The following is an 18,647-nucleotide window of genomic DNA, read 5'->3' as shown; positions in this document are numbered from 1 at the left end:
GAGCAGTGGTTTGTAGTTCTCCTTGAAGAGGTCCTTCATGTCCCTTGTAAGTTGGATTCCTAGGTATTTTATTCTCTTTGAAGCAATTGTGAATGGGAGTTCACTCATGATTTGGCTGTTTGTCTGTTATTGGTGTATAAGAATGCTTGTGATTTTTGTACATTGATTTTGTATCCTGAGACTTTGCGGAAGTTGCTTATCAGCTTAAGGAGATTTTGGGCTGAGACAGTGGGGTTTTCTAGATATACAATCATGTCATCTGCAAACAGGGACAATTTGACTTCCTCTTTTCCTAATTGAATACCCTTTATTTCCTTCTCCTGCCTAATTGCCCTGGCCAGAACTTCCAACACTATGTTGAATAAGAGTGGTGAGAGAGGGCATCCCTGTCTTGTGCCAGTTTTCAAAGGGAATGCTTCCAGTTTTTGCCCATTCAGTATGATATTGGCTGTGGGTTTGTCATAGATAGCTCTTATTATTTTGAGATATGTCCCATCAATACCTAATTTATTGAGAGTTTTTAGCATGAAGGGTTGTTGAATTTTGTCAAAGGCCTTTTCTGCATCTATTGAGATAATCATGTGGTTTTTGTCTTTGGCTCTGTTTATATGCTGGATTACATTTATTGATTTGCGTGTATTGAACCAGCCTTGCATCCCAGGGATGAAGCCCACTTGATCATGGCGGATAAGCTTTTTGATGCACTGCTGGATTCAGTTTGCCAGTATTTTATTGAGGATTTTTGCATCAATGTTCATCAAGGATATTGGTCTAAAATTCTCTTTTTTGGTTGTGTCTCTGCCAGTCTTTGGTATCAGGATGATGCTGGCCTCATAAAATGAGTTAGGGAGGATTCCCTCTTTTTCTGTTGATTGGAATAGTTTCAGAAGGAATGGTACCAGTTCCTCCTTGTACCTCTGGTAGAATTCGGCTGTGAATCCATCTGGTCCTGGACTCTTTTTGGTTGGTAAGCTATTGATTATTGCCACAATTTCAGAGCCTGTTATTGGTCTATTTGGAGTTTCAACTTCTTCCTGGTTTAGTCTTGGGAGGGTGTATGTGTCCAGGAATTTATCCATTTCTTCTAGATTTTCTAGTTTATTTGCGTAGAGGTGTTTGTAGTATTCTCTCATGGTAGTTTGTATTTCTGTGGGATCGGTGGTGATATCCCCTTTATCATTTTTTATTGCGTCTATTTGATTCTTCTCTCTTTTCTTCTTTATTAGTCTTGCTAGCGGTCTATCAATTTTGTTGATCCTTTCAAAAAACCAGCTCCTGGATTCATTAATTTTTTGAAGGGTTTTTTGTGTCTCTATTTTCTTCAGTTCTGCTCTGATTTTAGTTATTTCTTGCCTTCTGCTAGCTTTTGAATGTGTTTGCTCTAGCTTTTCTAGTTCTTTTAATTGTGATGTTAGGGTGTCAATTTTGGATCTTTCCTGCTTTCTCTTGTGGGCATTTAGTGCTATAAATTTCCCTCTACACACTGCTTTGAATGTGTCCCAGAGATTCTGGTATGTTGTATCTTTGTTCTCGTTGGTTTCAAAGAACATCTTTATTTCTGCCTTCATTTCATTATGTACCCAGTAGTCATTCAGGAGCAGGTTGTTCAGTTTCCATGTAGTTGAGTGGTTTTGAGTGAGTTTCTTAATCCTGAGTTCTAGTTTGATTGCACTGTGCTCTGAGAGACAGTTTGTTGTAATTTCTGTTCTTTTACATTTGCTGAGGAGAGCTTTACTTCCAAGTATGTGGTCAATTTTGGAATAGGTGTGGTGTGGTGCTGAAAAAAATGTATATTCTGTTGATTTGGGGTGGAGAGTTCTGTAGATGTCTATTAGGTCCACTTGGTGCAGAGCTGAGTTCAGTTCCTGGATACCTTTGTTAACTTTCTGTCTCGTTGATCTGTTTAATGTTGACAGTGGGGTGTTAAAGTCTCCCATTATTATTGTGTGGGAGTCTAAGTCTCTTTGTAGGTCACTCAGGACTTGCTTTATGAATCTGGGTGCTCCTGTCTTGGGTGCATATACATTTAGGACAGTTAGCTCTTCTTGTTGAATTCATCCCTTTACCATTATGTAATGGCCTTCTTTGTCTCTTTTGATCTTTGTTGGTTTAAAGTCTGTTTTATCAGAGACTAGGATTGCACCTGCTGCCTTTTTTAGTTTTCCATTTGCTTGGTAGATCTTCCTCCATCCCTTTATTTTGAGCCTATGTGTGTCTCTGCACGTGAGATGGGTTTCCTGAATACAGCACACTGATGGGTCTTGACTCTTTATCCAATTTGCCAGTCTGTGTCTTTTAATTGGAGCATTTAGTCCATTTACATTTAAAGTTGATATTGTTATGTGTGAATTTGATCCCGTCATTATGATGTTAGCTGGTTATTTTGCTCGTTAGTTGATGCAGTTTCTTCCTAGCCTTGAGGGTCTTTACAATTTGGCATGATTTTGCAGTGGCTGGTAGTGGTTGTTCCTTTCCATGTTTAGTGCTTCCTTCAGGAGCTCTTTTAGGGCAGGCCTGATGGTGACAAAATCTCTCAGCATTTGCTTGTCTGTAAAGTATTTTATTTCTCCTTCACTTATGAAGCTTAGTTTGGCTGCATATGAAATTCTGGGTTGAAAATTCTTTTCTTTAAGAATGTTGAATATAGGCCCCCACTCTCTTCTGGCTTGTAGAGTTTCTGCCGAGAGATCCGCTGTTAGTCTGATGGGCTTCCCTTTGTGGGTAACCCGACCTTTCTCTCTGGCTGCCTTTAACATTTTTTCCTTCATTTCAACTTTGGCGAATCTGACAACTATGTGTCTTGGAGTTGCTCTTCTTTAGGAGTATCTTTGTGGCGTTCTCTGTATTTCCTGAATCTGAACGTTGGCCTGCCTTGCTAGATTGGGGAAGTTCTCCTGGATATATCCTGCAGAGTGTTTTCCAACTTGGTTCCATTCTCCCCATCACTTTCAGGTACACCAATCAGACATAGATTTGGTCTTTTCACATAGTCTCATATTTCTTGGAGGCTTTGTTCATTTCTTTTTATTCTTTTTTCTCTAAACTTCCCTTCTCGCTTCATTTCATTCATTTCATCTTCCATCACTGATACCCTTTCTTCCAGTTGATCGCATCAGCTCCTGAGGCTTCTGCATTCTTCACGTAGTTCTCGAGCCTTGGCTTTCAGCTCCATCAGCTCCTTTAAGCACTTCTCTGTATTGGTTATTCTAGTTATACATTTGTCTAAATTTTTTTCAAAGTTTTTAACTTCTTTGCCTTTGGTTTGAATTTTCTCCTTTAGCTCGGAGTAGTTTGATCGTCTGAAGCCTTCTTCTCTCAGCTTGTCAAAGTCATTCTCTGCCAAGCTTTATTCCGTTGCTGGTGAGGAACTGCATTCCTTTGGAGGAGGAGAGGCGCTCTGCTTTTTAGAGTTTCCAGTTTTTCTGCTCTGTTTTTTCCCCATCTTTGTGGTTTTATCTACTTTTGGTCTGTGATGATGGTGATGTACAGATGGGTTTTTGGTGTGGATGTCCTTTCTGTTTGTTAGTTTTCTTTCTAACAGACAGGACCCTCAGCTGCAGGTCTGTTGGAGTTTGCCAGAGGTCCACTCCAGACCCTGTTTGCCTGGAGCAGCGGTGGCTGCAGACCAGCAGATTTTCGTGAACCGCGAATGCTGCTGTCTGATCGTTCCTCTGGAAGTTTTGTCTCAGAGGAGTACCCGGCCGTGTGAGGTGTCAGTCTGCCCCTACTGGGGGGTGCCTCCCAGGTAGGCTGCTCGGGGGTCAGGGGTCAGGGACCCACTTGAGGAGGCAGTCTGCCTGTTCTCAGATCTCCAGCTGCGTGCTGGGAGAACCACTGCTCTCTTCTTCAAAGCCGTCAGACAGGGACATTTAAGTCTGCAGAGGTTACTGCTGTCTTTTTGTTTGTCTGTGCCCTGCCCCCAGAGGTGGAGCCTACAGAGGCAGGCAGGCAGGCCTCCTTGAGCTGTGGTGGGCTCCACCCAGTTCGAGCTTCCCTGCTGCTTTGTTTACCTAAGCAAGCCTGGGCAATGGCGGGCGCCCCTCCCCCAGTCTCGCTGCCGCCTTGCAGTTTGATCTCAGACTGCTGTGCTAGCAATCAGCGAGACTCTGTGGGCGTAGGACCCTCCGAGTCAGGTGTGGGATATAATCTCCTGTTGCGCCGTTTCCCAAGCCCGTCGGAAAAGCGCAGTATTAGGGTGGGAGTGACCCGATTTTCCAGGTGCCATCCGTCACCCCTTTCTTTGACTAGGAAAGGGAACTCCCTGACCCCTTGCGCTTCCCAAGTGAGGCAGTGCCTCGCCCCACTTCGGCTCCCACACGGTGCACTGCACCCACCGTCCTGCACCCACTGTCTGGCACTCCCCAGTGAGATGAACCCGGTACCTCAGATGGAAATGCAGAAATCACCTGTCTTCTGCTTCAGTCACGCTGGGAGCTGTAGACCGGAGCTGTTCCTGTTCGGCCATCTTGGCTCCAACCCCCTCTATTTATAGTTTTAAGTTTATTCTGTCCCCAATTAATGGCCTACATTTCCTTATGGGGTGTAAGAACCTAACTCCTATGTCCAAGGACAGTGAATGAAACTACCCTGTAAATTTTGTTTACTCTATTACCATTACAGTTGCATTAATGTCCTTTATTTAGCAATAGCATTCTCCTACCTTTATTAGTCATCACAGTGATGTTTTCAATTTCATATTGTGATGACTGATTTAATTTTATTTAAATAAAAGGTAGTAGCTGAATGGATAATGTAGTCAGCTTATAGTTTTTATATAGGACATTTTTTAAGGCTTACAAACTTTGGAGAGGCTTCCAAAGTAATTTCCTTCAAGGCAGTTTTTGACTTTTTTGACCTAGAATTATAAATTTTTAAACTACATTATGCCTAGAGCAAGTCCAAGTGTGTAAATAGAAATATTTACTTCATTGCTTAATTTACATTGTCATCTTACCTACCAACCCCTTTTTAATAAATGTAGAAATACAAGAAGATAACAGTCAATAGAGACACAAGAAAATAACAGTCAAGAAGCAGGTTTAGTGTTTGTACTCAGCTCCTGCAAAGTTATATTGCCCAACAGTAACAGGAAAATTAATTCTTGAGTACTCAGCTGTAATTGTTTCTTACCAGCATGTCTTTGGATTATTAACTGATAACTCATATATACAGTATCTGCGTATATGTTGTCAATTTTTCCAGCTTCACAAATCTGTTATCATTCATTTATTTATTAAAAATAATTAAAATGATGCATCCCTTTACATAAAGGAACTTTTATTTAAACATTTTTATTTTTATTTAAATGTATTTATTTAAATGTGTAAACATTTATTTAAACATTTTAAATGTTTAAAATTTTATGGTTTTACTTTATAATTTTGCTTGTATTTATCTTTAAATAATTTCAGATTGTGCTAAAACTTATTTCAAGAGTCTGACATGTTTCAGTGTAAACTTAATTCATTTATCACTTTGTTTTTAGTGGGAGATTTTGATAAGATCTGGCGAGAACACTGTGAGGATGAAGAAACTCTTTGTGAATATGCCGTTGCAATGAAAAATTTGGCAGATAATCATTGGGCAAAAACTTGTGAGGGCGAAGGTCGTATTGAATGGTGTTGTAGGTAAGTACTTTTATGAATTAACGTTTTTGGTTTCAAATGTATTGTTGTAACTTCTTTTTTTTTTTTCCTGAGACGGAGTCTTGCTCTGTCACCCAGGCTGGAGTGCATGGCGTGATCTCGGCTCACTGCAACCTCCACCTCCCGGGTTCAATCAGTTCTTCTGCCTCAGCCTCCCAAGTAGCTGGGATTATAGGCACCCACCACTGTGCCCAGCTATTTTTGTATTTTTAGTAGAGATGGGGTTTCACCATCTTGGCCAGGCTGGTCTCAAACTCCTGACCTCGTGACCTGCCCGCCTCAGCCTCCCAAAGTGCTTGGATTACAGACGTGAGCCACCGCACCTGGCCAAAACTCTTAAATCTAAGTGATGCTGTGTATAATTCATAGTGCCAAAATAGAATACCAGAAATACTGTGAAAGAGATCATGTCTTTTAAAACAACTTTTCTCCCTTTTGCTTCACTTTCCCTAGGTCTGTTTCATTCACCTTTTTAAATAAAAATGCTTTTGACACACTTGTTTTGTTTTAACTTTTAAAAAATATGGCTTTAAATGCATTTAATACATACAATACATTTAAATATAATGATTTAATACTTGACTCATTAATAAATTATGGTATAAAAATTTCTTTAGATAATTATTTAGATTCAAGTAAAAGTGAGTTCTATAAAGTCTTAAAACATCTTAAAATTTTTTAAATCTTGAATTTTTGATGTACGGTTCAGGGTATTCCAGCATTTATATTGACTTTGGATAATGTTTATTTTCTCATGATATTGATTCTAATGCTAAAAATATCAGAAAATGAAATAATGCTTATACTAGTTCTCTTAATGTGGTAAAATTATAAGAAAGGATAAGTATATTGACTAAACTTAAACATGAATTCCCTGAAAAACTCCCGATTGGGTACTATGCTTATTGCCCCGGTGGTGAAATAATCTATATACCAAACCCCTGTGACGTGCAATTTACCTATATAACAAACCTGCAAAAGTAACCCTGGACCAAAAAAAAAAAAAAAAAACTAGAGGCTAAATAAATAAACATGAATTCCCAAAAATAAAGCATTGTCTTTCTCATGGACAGTAAGTTTATGATAACTTCTGGTTTACATTTTCTTTCCATTTTTATTCAAAAATTTTTACATCTCATTTTAAAACTGTAATAATGCATATTTCATTCATTCAACAAATAATTCAGAGAAAAATATGTATTTAACTTAGTTCTTTTATTTAATAAATAATATTTAGTGATTGTCTACTTTGTACCAGTCATATTATAGGCACTAGGAGTACAATAAAACTCACAAAATCCTTGCTCTCATAGAGCTTACGTGCTAGTTGGGGTGAGTGGCCGGAAACAATATGTTGGTTAAATTTACACTAGTGCAGACAGTGGTGAGCACCATGAGAAAAATAAAGCAAGGAAAACTAAAACAATTTTAAGTAAGGTAGGGGAAGAGGGTTTCACTGTTGTGATGTGTGCCAATGATATAAAGGAAATGAGACAGTAAGCCAGCCCTACCAAGTCTGAAGACCTTGAAGAAGAGGCATGCTGGCATGTTTCAGAAACAGCCAGGAGACCAGTGTGGCCAGAGCAAAATGACAGAGGGAGAGAGGTAGAAAATAAGGCAATGAACAGCTAGATTTTGTAGGGTCTTGTGGGCCATTTTAAGACATTGATTTTTACTCTGACATGGGAAGTCATATGGCTGTTTTGACAAAAGAAGTGACAGGATTTTATTAACCTTTTGCAAGATGTCAAGAATTCTTAAGAATTAATTTCTGTGTTAAGAACAGACTATAGGAAGGGCAAGGGTGTCAGTAAGGGAACCCAGTTAGAAAACTACTTCAATAATCATGGCACGAAATTATAGTTAAACAGTTGGTGAATGAGATAGTGAGTTGACAGGACAGTGTACTAGGATTAATGCTCAAATAAGTGTAATGACTCAGAGGAGCCAGGGAGGTGATGGGGCACACATTTTAGTGATTATGATATGTAAGGGAATTGAAAATATAAGGTATAGTTAGAAAGTGGTACCATCAGTGGATTGTGGAGTCAAAGAATAATGGAGTTAAGGAACTAAAGAAAGGTGCCAAAATAATAGGAGATGGGATGGTTGGGGTTAAATGTTTTTATTTGCATTTCTAGAGAGAAGATGGTTATAAATCTGACTGTTTTACAGAATATACATTTTCTCCCTCAAGTTAAGAAACACAAAATGAGGCATACTACTGAACCAAATAGTTCCCCTGTAACAGAAAGTCAGGAAATCAGTACTATTGCTGTTTAAGACCATCATTGTTGGATTTTAGCGTAGTGCTTTTAAATTACTATTACAGTACAGCAGGCAGGCCCTCAAACTGTATCTCTTAAATGAACTTTGATAGGTAGTATTCTTATTGGAGCAATTGCTTTCACCTTCTACTTGAACAATGAATCTGCCTCAAACTTCAGTCTTCTTCCTTTTTCCTTGGATTTTTGTTTTATCAATCGTTATATTATCACATGAGGTCATTTTTTATGTAAACTGATGAAAAATCATTAGGAATTTAGGTCATACTGTTAAAAAAAGAACAGTGGCAAGATATGGTTAAATTTCTTTATTTTTTTTTTTACTATCAGAAGTAATACTAAGAGAAGTTATGTAACATCTTTAAACATAAAACTAGGTTTGGGGAAAAGACTTTGAAACAATATTGTGTTTTGAAACTTGAGTTATATATAATTATGAGCTATATGCAGTTTTTTTCTCTTTTTGATAATTCTAAAAGCATGTCAGTTTGAAAGCTAAAGTGGGCTTTAAAAAGGGTTGGACAAAAGTTTGCTTCTTGTTATACTTAAAACTTATGGGAATATGTTATATGAGGTAAGCCTTACTGACATTATCCTGCCAAGGACAGAATAATAAAATTTTATATGTAATATGAATCATTAAAAGCCAGAGAAAAAAATGCAATATACAGGTATAGCTATACCTTCAATAAAGGAATTTGCCTTTTTTAGCTCTTTAAATACAGAGAAATATATACTATAAACACACTATTTCCTGAACTATTTGAAGGTAAATTACAGATAACATTACATTTTATCCCTAAATCTATTAGCACACATCTCCTAAGAATTAGGAAATTTTTCTACATAACCACAACACCGTCATCATATTAAGACAGTTAACAGTAATCTAATTTTCTAAAATACTTAGTTCATAAGTTCAGATTTTTCTGTCTTCAAAATATATTTTAAAATTTATATATATATGTATTTTTTTCTAAATCCAATCAAGTCTCATACATTGCATTTGGTGGTTACAATTCTTTAGGTTCTTGGTTTTTTTGTTTGTTTGTTTCATAACATTGAGTTTTTAGACAAATGTCAGTTAATTTGTAGAATATCCCACATTCTGCATTTTGCAATTGTTGGTTCAAGCTGGTTAATAGTGTTGTTCAAGTATTCTATATATCTTTACTGATTTTTCTTTCTTGGCTTTTTTATCTATCATTAACCAGTAAAGATGTTTTTAAGATACCATTTTTCCCAGTTTTTCTATAATAGTTACTTGGCTTTTTAGAGATTTAATTTTTCTGTTGAAGTTCTCTGTTTTTGTCCATTTGGGTTGTCTTTTTCTCTATTTTAAAAAAATAAATTTAAAATAGTTATTTTAAAGTTTTTGTCTGCTTATTCTAACATGTCTTATCTGTGGGTCTGTTTCTTTTGGCTATTTTTTCTTTTGGTTATGGGTCATTTTTTCCTGCTTTATGTGTGATAATTCTGTTTTTATACTGGCATTGTGTTTAGAAGAGATTGGCATAAATACCCTTTTTCTCCAGAGAGACATGCTTTTTTTGCTCTGAAAGGCAGCTAGAATGAAAGACTGAACACTTTGATACCATCAGGAGTTGAGCTGTATTGGAGCTGGATGACCTCTTTAGGTGGTTTCAATTCACTTCTGGTCTCAAGTGCTTTGATAGTGAATGAATCCTGTTCTGTGAGTATTACAGGTGCAACTCTCTTGCAGGACATAAGCCTAATGTTTTTCTGCTTTTTAGTTCCACTCGCAGCCACCAGTGCTGTTGCTGCCTTCACATACTCATAAATAGACCTGTGGAGGGAATCAGGAGGAGAATGGGGAGAATTATCTCTACATTTGAGTTTCTTAAAGATATCAATCTGTCACACAGCCAAGCAGTTGTTAAAAGCTCTGCCATTTCCCTTTAATCCAGCAGAGTATTTCTACCCTGGAAGGCTTGATTCTCTGCAGCCCAGGTACCATTTCAGCAAATTCCCCAGTGCCTGTGATCCCTTCTCATTTTGGAAGGACTTGTGCTTGTCTGTAATTTATTTCCTTTAGACCCCTTTGCATTCTCATCTCTCATGATTTCTTTTTAATACGTTGTTTTTTAAATTGTATCATATGAGCTGTTCTGATAATCTGTATCCTAATTCCAAACTAGTTTTGTGTTCTACATGCAGGATTATCTGATTGTTTTCTCATGGTACCAATTATTTATTTCCTCAATCTCATTTATTTCCTGTAAACTGAAAGTTGGGTCTAAAGGATTGATTCAGGTCAGATATTTTTGCAAAAATATCTATTAGATGAAGCTTCATACATCATTTTGTGTCATATTAGTAGGTTTTTGTTGTGAGGTGTACCGCCATTAGAGATACTAAATGTTATCATTTGGTTAAGGTGGTATCTACTCAATCTTTCCATTGTAAACTTATGTTATCCCTTTATAATTAAGTAATATGTACAGTGATATTTTGGCTTGTGGATCAATCCTCTTTCCTAACAGTCTTTCAACAAACAGTTTTACTTCCATTTATTAAATAATATTTGGGGTTACAAAACAATTATTTTTAAAATTGTATTATTTCTTGACATTTATTAGCTGGCATTCTTTTGTAAATAAAAGAATTTTCCTTTATAAATGGTGAATGATGATTACATGTTATCCAGAAAATCAGATTAAAAAATATGTAATTCTGTTTAATTACCAATTTTCACGAAAGCAATTGGTATAATAGTCAATTACAGTTAGGACAACGGGGTTGTGGGGTTTATTTTTTTGGACTGTCACAGTAACATCTTGGATTTTTATTTATTCCATTTTTCATTATTAGTCTTTTTTTGGGGGGTGGGGTGTTCAAATAATTTCATATTAGGCAGCAGGAGCCCAGTCAAAGTTTACTTCTGTGTTTTACGTCACCTGTGAGCACTTTCTTGCTCTGTAGTACAAAGATGAGTCTTTGCTTCCCCTCGTCGAGACCTGGCATCAGACTGTTTCTTCAGGGAGTCCTAGTTTCATTTAGTGGGAAATGGCATTTGAAAAGTAACATGTGGATACTAGATGTGCACAGGGTGTGCTTTATTCTGCATCTTTTTGGTAAAGAGAATTAGAAAAATATATAATATAATATTATATAGTGTTATATATAAATATTCAATCAAATTCCTAATTGATATTTTCCACTCCAGTTTAATATTATAAGATTTTTGCTTAACAACTTTGTTTTATATTTATATTTATTTTTGCTTAACTTATCTGTTTTTTATTTCTCTTCTGTTACACCGAAGGACTTGGTTCTGAATTACATTAATACATTAGCCTTTTCCTACAATTTACATAAAATGATTTAAAAATTGCAATACTGATTTTCTAAAAATAAAATAACTGAAATGTAAGATTTCTTTGCAGTTCTTTTGTCTTTAGAACATATCCCACCAAGGATCAGAATATATGCTTAAAAGTTGCTTGAAACAGTTATTTTCTGTATGGTTGTAATACCAATTTGCTATACAGTTGATTTCACTTAATTTTCAGTTTGGGGCGTTTTTTATTGTTATTTTAATTTTGGAGAATATAAAACATTTACATGGTTCAAAAGTCAAACCTTATAAAAAGATATACTCAAAAAAGACTCCCTTTTATTTTCTTCATTTACACCTGCCTCTGTTACCAACAAAGCTGGTTTCCCAAAAGATGGGGTCTTTCCCTGTTCATTGTCACAAAACCAGTACACAAAACCAGAAGTGAGTATCAAGCAGTGCAGGCTTTATTTGATGGCCATGGAATTGAGAAGCAGGAGCATGGCTCATAATTCAACTTCTCCACTAGTGATAGGCTGGGGGGTTAAAATATAGGGTTTTCTAATGAAGGCATTGGACATTAAAAGCAAGAGGATTAATATTCATGTCTTTTCTAGAAATGGGCAGTGAACTTTCTAGAACTGGAGTGCCACCATCCTTTTTGTCCTTTTATGGCTTCTTGCAGTTGTTACGGTCATTTGCCAACTGTCATGGAACTGGTGGGAGTACCATTTCATTTAGCATGGAAATGAGATTATAATGAAACGTGAGGTCTTTTCATTATGTCAGCTATCTTGGTTCTAACCAGTCTCACCCGGTCTCGTTATTTCAAAGGGAACTTTTTATTACAGGTATCCTGTTTCTTAAAGGTAAGCAGAGTTGGGGCAGGATCAGAATTCAACTGTCATATAGGCATTACACCGGGTAACACCTCCTATGGGTAACCATTTTCATTTGTTTTGTTTTTATCCTACCAGTGTTTGTTTTTGCAAAAATAAACAAATTCATATCCATGTACATATGCATATGTACATATATCCACCCTTTCTTATCCCTGTAGGTGGTAGTGTGTTGTATACTGTTATATACTCTGTACCTTTCTTTTTTACTTAATATGAGAATTACTGTATTTGGTATTGGTCAGGAGTCTTCAGAGAAACAGAAGCAATAGGATGTGTCTGTTTGTGTGTATAGTAAGATTTGTTATAAAGAATTAATGCATATGATTATCGAGTTTGACAACTCCTAAGATCTGCAAGGTGAGTGGGCAAGGTGGCAATCCATGAGTGCTGAAGGTATAGATCCAGTCTAAAGGCCAGCAGCCTCTAGACCCACTTCGAGTCTGAAGGCAGGAAAAAGCTGGTGTCCCAGTTCAAAGGCAGTCAGGCAGGAGGAATTCTCTTTAATTATTCATGAGAGAGTCAGCTTTTTTGTTCTATTCAGGCATCAACTGACTGAATGAGGCCCACTCACATTAAGGAAAGGCAGTCTGCTTTATTTAGTCTACCAATGTAAATGTTAATATCATCCAAAAACACCCTCAAAGAAACACCTAAGATAATGTTTGACAATTGATACCTAAAATTAACCATCACAGGTATACAGATATATTCCTCATTTTCATGACTTGTTTACAAGCTTTTGCTACTACAAATAGTGCTGTAATGAATAACCTTGTGTGTGTGCATTTTGTATTTTTGTCATTGTATATTTGTAGATTCCTAGGTGTGGAATTGCAGGAATGGAGATTAAATGCATATGTGATTTTATTAGATGTGCTGCCAAATTGCCCTGTGTAGAGGTTATATCATTTTGCAGTTTCACCAGCAAATAAATAAATAAATAAATAAATAAATAAATAAGTAAGTAAGAATACCCATTTCTCTATAACTTCACCAACATAGTATGTGGCTCAGCTATTGAATTTTTCTCCGATAGATTGGAATTGGTATCTCTAGCTTGAGTTTATTTTACATTTCTCTTATGAATGAGGTAAAGTACCTTTTTATATATTTAGGAGTCATTTGCCTTTTTTTCCTGTGAATTATGTGATCATGTTTTTGATAGTTTTTTTTTTCTGTTGACTTTTGGTCTCTAATTTTTCTTGATTTTTTTGGAGCTCTTTATATCATTTATAAATATTTGTGCCCTTTGTCTTTGACTATATCTTTTGCCATACAGAAAGTTTTTGCTTTTGTGTAGTTAGATGTATCAGTCTTCTGTTTTATTGCTTCCAGATTTTTATTGTCTTAGAAAAGCTTTCCTAATTACCAGACTGTAGGAATTCAAATAACAATTTGTTATTCACTCGTGTTTTCTTCTAGTACTTAGGGGATTTCTCATTTATTACATTAAATCTCTGACCTGTTTAAAAGTCAAATTTGGTCTTTCTTGTGAAGTATTGATCTAATTTTTTTTCTACCAAAGTTATCCATTTCCCCAACATTTATTAAAAACTTTACCTTTTCTTCAGTAATTTGATATGACACTTACATGATGTACTAAGTTTTCCCATATAGTTGGTTTTGTTTTAGCTTTTCTGTCATATTCCATTGTGTATATCATTGATCCATGCCTACTATCACTATTTTAATCATAAAGACTTACAATGCTGTTCTGTAGTGTCTTCTCTCCATACCCCCATCTCACACTATTCTTTTTCAGGGTTTTCTTGGTTTTTCTTGCTTTTGCTTTTTTCCACATGTACTTTAGGATCAACTGGTCCAACTACATTTTAAAAATTACTTTTATTGAGATTACATTAATTTTTCATAAATTGGGAACAACAGATATCTCAATAATGTTGAGTCATCCTATCCATTAAAAAGATACGTCGGCCGGGCATGGTGGCTCATGCCTATAATCCCAGCACTTTGGGAGGCCGAGGTGGGCAGATCACAAGGTCAAGGGATTGAGACCATCCTGGCCAACATGGTGAATCCCTGTCCCTACTAAAAATACAAAAATTAGCTGGGCATGGTGGTGTGCACCTGTAGTCCCAGCTACTTGGGAGGCTGAGGCAGGAGAATCACTTGAACCCAGGAGGCGGAGGAGGTTGCAGTGAGCCAAGATCGCACCACTGCACTCCAGCCTGGTGACAGAGCAAGACTCTGTCTCAAAAAAAAAAAAAAGATATGTCTTTCCATTTGTTCTAGTCTACTTTAGTCAAAAGTAGCAGACTACTTTGCAAAGTAGTGTTTTAAGGTTTTCTGTATAGTGATTATGCACATTTCTTGTTGTGCTTACTCCTAGGTATTTTGTCATTTTTATTGCTGTTGTAAATGTCCCCTTCCCTTCTGTTTATACAGCTATGCACTGCATAATGACATCTCCATCAACAGTGGAAATATATGGACTACATACAATGGTAGTCCCATAAGATTATAATATTGTACTTTTACTATACCTTTTCTATGTTTAGATACACAAATACTTAACAATTGTGTTACAGTGGCCTACAGTATTCAGTATGGTAACATGCTGTAGATGTGTAGTAGGCTATACCATCTAGATTTAAGTATACTTGGGTGATTTCACAATAATGAAGTCACCTTAATGATGCACTTCTTGGGACATATCCCCATTGTTAAGCAACACATGACTATATTCTAACAGGATATTGTTGTGTGTGTACATATATATATGGATGATTTTCATTTTTTAATGTTTTACATCCTACCATTTTAATGAATTTTCTTTCTGTTTATATGAGTTTATGATTGATTCTCTTGGGTTGTCAAGGTGTATCTGTTATGTCATCTATAAATACACAAAGTTTTATTTCTTCCTCTCTTATTCATTTGACTAAATCTTTTTCTCTTGTCTATTACGTAGCTGTGCTTTATTCATTTTGCAGTAATGTATGTGGTGTATTTTCATTAAGTTGCTGGCTTTTTGGCTGATGTGTGTATATATATATATTTCTAATATTAAGGAAGTGTTTGCCAACTTGTATTTTATTGAGTGTTTATATTAGGAATGGGTTTGAATTTTGTTGAATGACCTTTCAACATCTATGGAGAAGAATAAATGTGTTTTCTTCTTAGATTTATGAATATAGTGAATTATATTAGTGGATTTTCTTATGCTGAACCATCCTTGCATTCCTGAAATACATATCACTTGGTCATATTTAATTCTGTTTGTTAAAATTTAATTTCATATTTTTATTCATATTTATAAGTGATATTGGCCTTTATTTTTGTAGTCTTTATGAGATCAGATAAGTATTATTGTAATTTTGCTCCCTGAAAATGAATTTGGAAAAATGTTTTTGTTTCTATGGTTTGGAACAGTTTAAGTACTTTTGGGGTTGTCTCACATGTATCAGTGGAATTTTAATTTATAGAGGTGACTGAGGGAAAACATGGAGTGATCAATGCCATTGAAATAATTATTTATTACTTATATTTCCTGAGAGAAGGGGACATACTGCACCATGCAGGGCTATAAAGGAAGCACCAGATTTTGTCAGGAGTCAGAAGCAGGAGCTAAAGGAAATCCTAGACCAGAGCTGTTATTGACCTTTTTATGGAAAAGCCAAGGCAGGGCAGAGTAAACGGTTTAGGATTGGCTAGGTTGAATAATTTCAGTAGGCTTTGGGGACTAGAGGCTGTCCGTTGTTGTCTGGTATATGGTCTTGAGTTGATTTAGTAGTGGGGAATTAATGGTCTATGTGTAAAAGTTAGATAGCGGTTGGCTTGCATATGAGAAATGTTTTCCCAAGTAAGTTTACCACCTTAAGGAATTAGCTGGTCCTGAGAGGGGCAGTCTCTCTCTGGATGTATAAGCACACCCTCCAACACCCCTCCCAAAATATCAAAATATGAAAGATAAAGTAAAAAACATGATTAATACAGGGGTTATCTGGTTTTTGAAGGCTTGTACTGGTGCTTTTTGGTAAGATTAACTCTGATAACTATTTCATCTTTGGATTTTTGTTTTGTTTAAACTTTTTATTTCTACCGAGTCAAGTTTAAGAAATTTTTCTATTCTATATATTTGGTGTATTTTTCTAGAAAAAAGTTGCACAAGTTTTTGTGTATTTGTTGGCACTCTTCCTTTCTTTTGCTTCATTTTCTAATCCCTTGAGTTCCATGTTTATTTCATTTGATTTTCTTCTTTTGTTTGTATTGATATAAGCATTAAAGCATCTCAGTTTTCATCAGATTGCTATTTTAGTTGCATTCCTTAGCTTCTGACTTGTAATGCTTTCATTAATTATTTTTAGATATTCTGTGATTTTATTAGTATTTGCCCTCTGACCCAAGTTATTTACTTTTTTACTTTTTTAAAAAATAGCAGATAGAATGGATTTCTTGTTTTTGGTTAATTCTCATTTTATTGCATTGCAATTGTATAATTTTGTCTGTATTTTTTCATTATGGTTTTTACTATGGTTTTCTTCATGACTTAATACACATATATGGTAATTTTTGTGACTATTCCATGTATAATTAAAAAGAAGCTATTCTCTCTGAATGCAGAGTTCATCTTCTAGCAATAAGGTAAACTTTATTATGTTTTTTAGGGCTTCTGTAACCTTTTCATTCTCTTGATTGAAAGTGGAAAGTCCCTGTTGTTGGTGTTTGTCTGTTTCTCCATACATCTCATGGAATTTCTTCTTTGTAAAGATGGCTGCTATGATAAGTGATACATAACTATTTATAATAGTTATATCTTCACTGGGAATTGAAGTGAATTGAATGCCTTTAGCATTTTAAAGTACCCGCTTTTTTTTTTAAGTGATTTAATGCTTTTTATTCCCTACTTCTTCACCAACATTTCTTAATCATCTCATAGATGAAGTTTATCTTCCAGTAGATTTTTTAAAAACAACTTGGAATTATGATGTTCTCTGAGTTCACCCATCTTACAAACTGGTTTTGTATAATTTTGTTACAAGATACGTAGTTTGGATGGATAGAAAATCCTTGACTCACACTTTCTTTCCTTCAGCTTCTGAAAAAATGTTACTCTACTTAGTCTTACTTTTGTATCTTGTTCCTCTTTCTCCTCTGGGTCCTTTTTCTCTCTTGCTCTCTGCTGAACCTTTTGAGAGTCAGTTACAGAAATTACCAGACTTTTATTCCTGAATACTTCAGTGTGTATCATGTAAGAACATTCTTCTACGTAATCATAATACAACTATCACACTCCAGAAATTTAGCATTAATGTGATGCTAACTAATAATGTAATCCATAATCAAATTTCCCCAATTTTCACAATAGTGTCCTTTATACCTGTATTTTTTTTTTTTTCAATCCAGGATCCCATCAGGGATAACTCATTGCACTTAGTTGTGAAGCCTTTTTGGTCTTTAATCTAGAAAAATTCATCATTTTTTTCTTTTCTTTTTTGTCTTTTTATGATACGACTTTTTTTTTTTGTTTTGAGACAGTTTCGCTGTTGTTACCCAGGCTGGAGTGCAGTGATACGATCTGGGCTCACTGCAGCCTCCACTTCCAGGGTTAAGCAATTCTCCTGCCTCAGCCTCCCGAGTAGCTGGGATTACAGGCACCTGCCACTACACCCAGCTAATTTTTATATTTTAGAAGAGGCGGGGTTTTACTATGTTGGTCAGGCGGGTCTTGAACTCCTGACCTCAGGTGATCTGCCTGCCTCGGCCTCCCAAAGTGCTGGGATTACAGGCATGAGCCACTGTGCCTGGCCTATGCGGCCATTTTTTAAAAGTCAACATTTTATAGATTGCCTCTCAATTTGGATATGTGTAGTTTATTTGTGATTAGATATAAGTTAAGTGTATTGTTAGCAAGAGTTTTGCATAGGTGATGTTGTGTCCCTCTCAGTTTAATACATCAGGAGATACATGATATATTTATCCCAAGGTTGGTTTGTTTTCTCTTTTAAGTAGACTTTATTTTTTAGAGCAGTGGGTTTACAACACAATTGACCAGAAACCCACAATAAAATTGACCAGAAAGTACAGAAAGTTCCCATATACAACCACTCCATCCCAAACATGCATAGCCTCCCCCACTGTCAACATCCAGCACTAGAGTGGTACATTTGTTAGAGTTGTTAAACTTATACTGATAGATCATTATCACCCAAAGTCCATAGTTTACCATAGGGTTCATTCTTGATGTTGTACATTCTATGGTTTTTGAAAAATGTATAATGACATGTATCCTCCATTATAGTATTATACAGAATAGTTTAACTGCCCTAAAAATCCTTTGTGCCGGCCTTTTCACCCATCTGCAACCACCAACTTTTTTGGTTTTTTTTTTTGTTTTTTTTTGTTTTTTTTTGTTTTTTTTTTTTGAGACGGAGTTTTGCTCTTGTTGCCCAGGCTGGAGTGCAATGCCGCGATCTCAGCTCACCGCAACCTCCGTCCACTGCAGCCTCCGCCTCCCGGTTCAAGCAATTTTCCTGCCTCAGCCTCCCAAGTAGCT

The 18,647-nt window shown here is 36.0% G+C and overlaps 1 protein-coding gene across 1 annotated transcript in view, besides 2 other annotated features; it reads left to right on the top strand.

Annotated features, from left to right (window-relative positions):
* Positions 1-18,647, top strand: part of SAMTOR (S-adenosylmethionine sensor upstream of mTORC1) — a 120,729-nt gene that overhangs the window by 18,943 nt on the left and 83,139 nt on the right. The window contains exon 2 of the mRNA NM_152556.3: positions 5,486-5,627. Coding sequence (NP_689769.2) covers positions 5,486-5,627 — 142 coding nt within the window. The remainder of the gene's footprint in view (positions 1-5,485; positions 5,628-18,647) is intronic.
* Positions 3,456-3,955: an enhancer, noted in NCBI's record as "H3K4me1 hESC enhancer chr7:112557033-112557532 (GRCh37/hg19 assembly coordinates)". NCBI's record gives its function as "activates a minimal SCP1, AML or CMV promoter by ChIP-STARR-seq in naive H9 embryonic stem cells {active_cell/tissue: H9 hESC(naive)}" and the evidence as "EXISTENCE:reporter gene assay evidence [ECO:0000049][PMID:30033119]".
* Positions 3,956-4,457: an enhancer, noted in NCBI's record as "H3K4me1 hESC enhancer chr7:112556531-112557032 (GRCh37/hg19 assembly coordinates)". NCBI's record gives its function as "activates a minimal SCP1, AML or CMV promoter by ChIP-STARR-seq in naive H9 embryonic stem cells {active_cell/tissue: H9 hESC(naive)}" and the evidence as "EXISTENCE:reporter gene assay evidence [ECO:0000049][PMID:30033119]".

Source organism: Homo sapiens, chromosome 7 (assembly GCF_000001405.40).
Source record: "Homo sapiens chromosome 7, GRCh38.p14 Primary Assembly".
Taxonomy (NCBI): Eukaryota; Metazoa; Chordata; class Mammalia; order Primates; family Hominidae; genus Homo; species Homo sapiens.
This window is presented reverse-complemented; position numbering and strand designations above follow the sequence as displayed.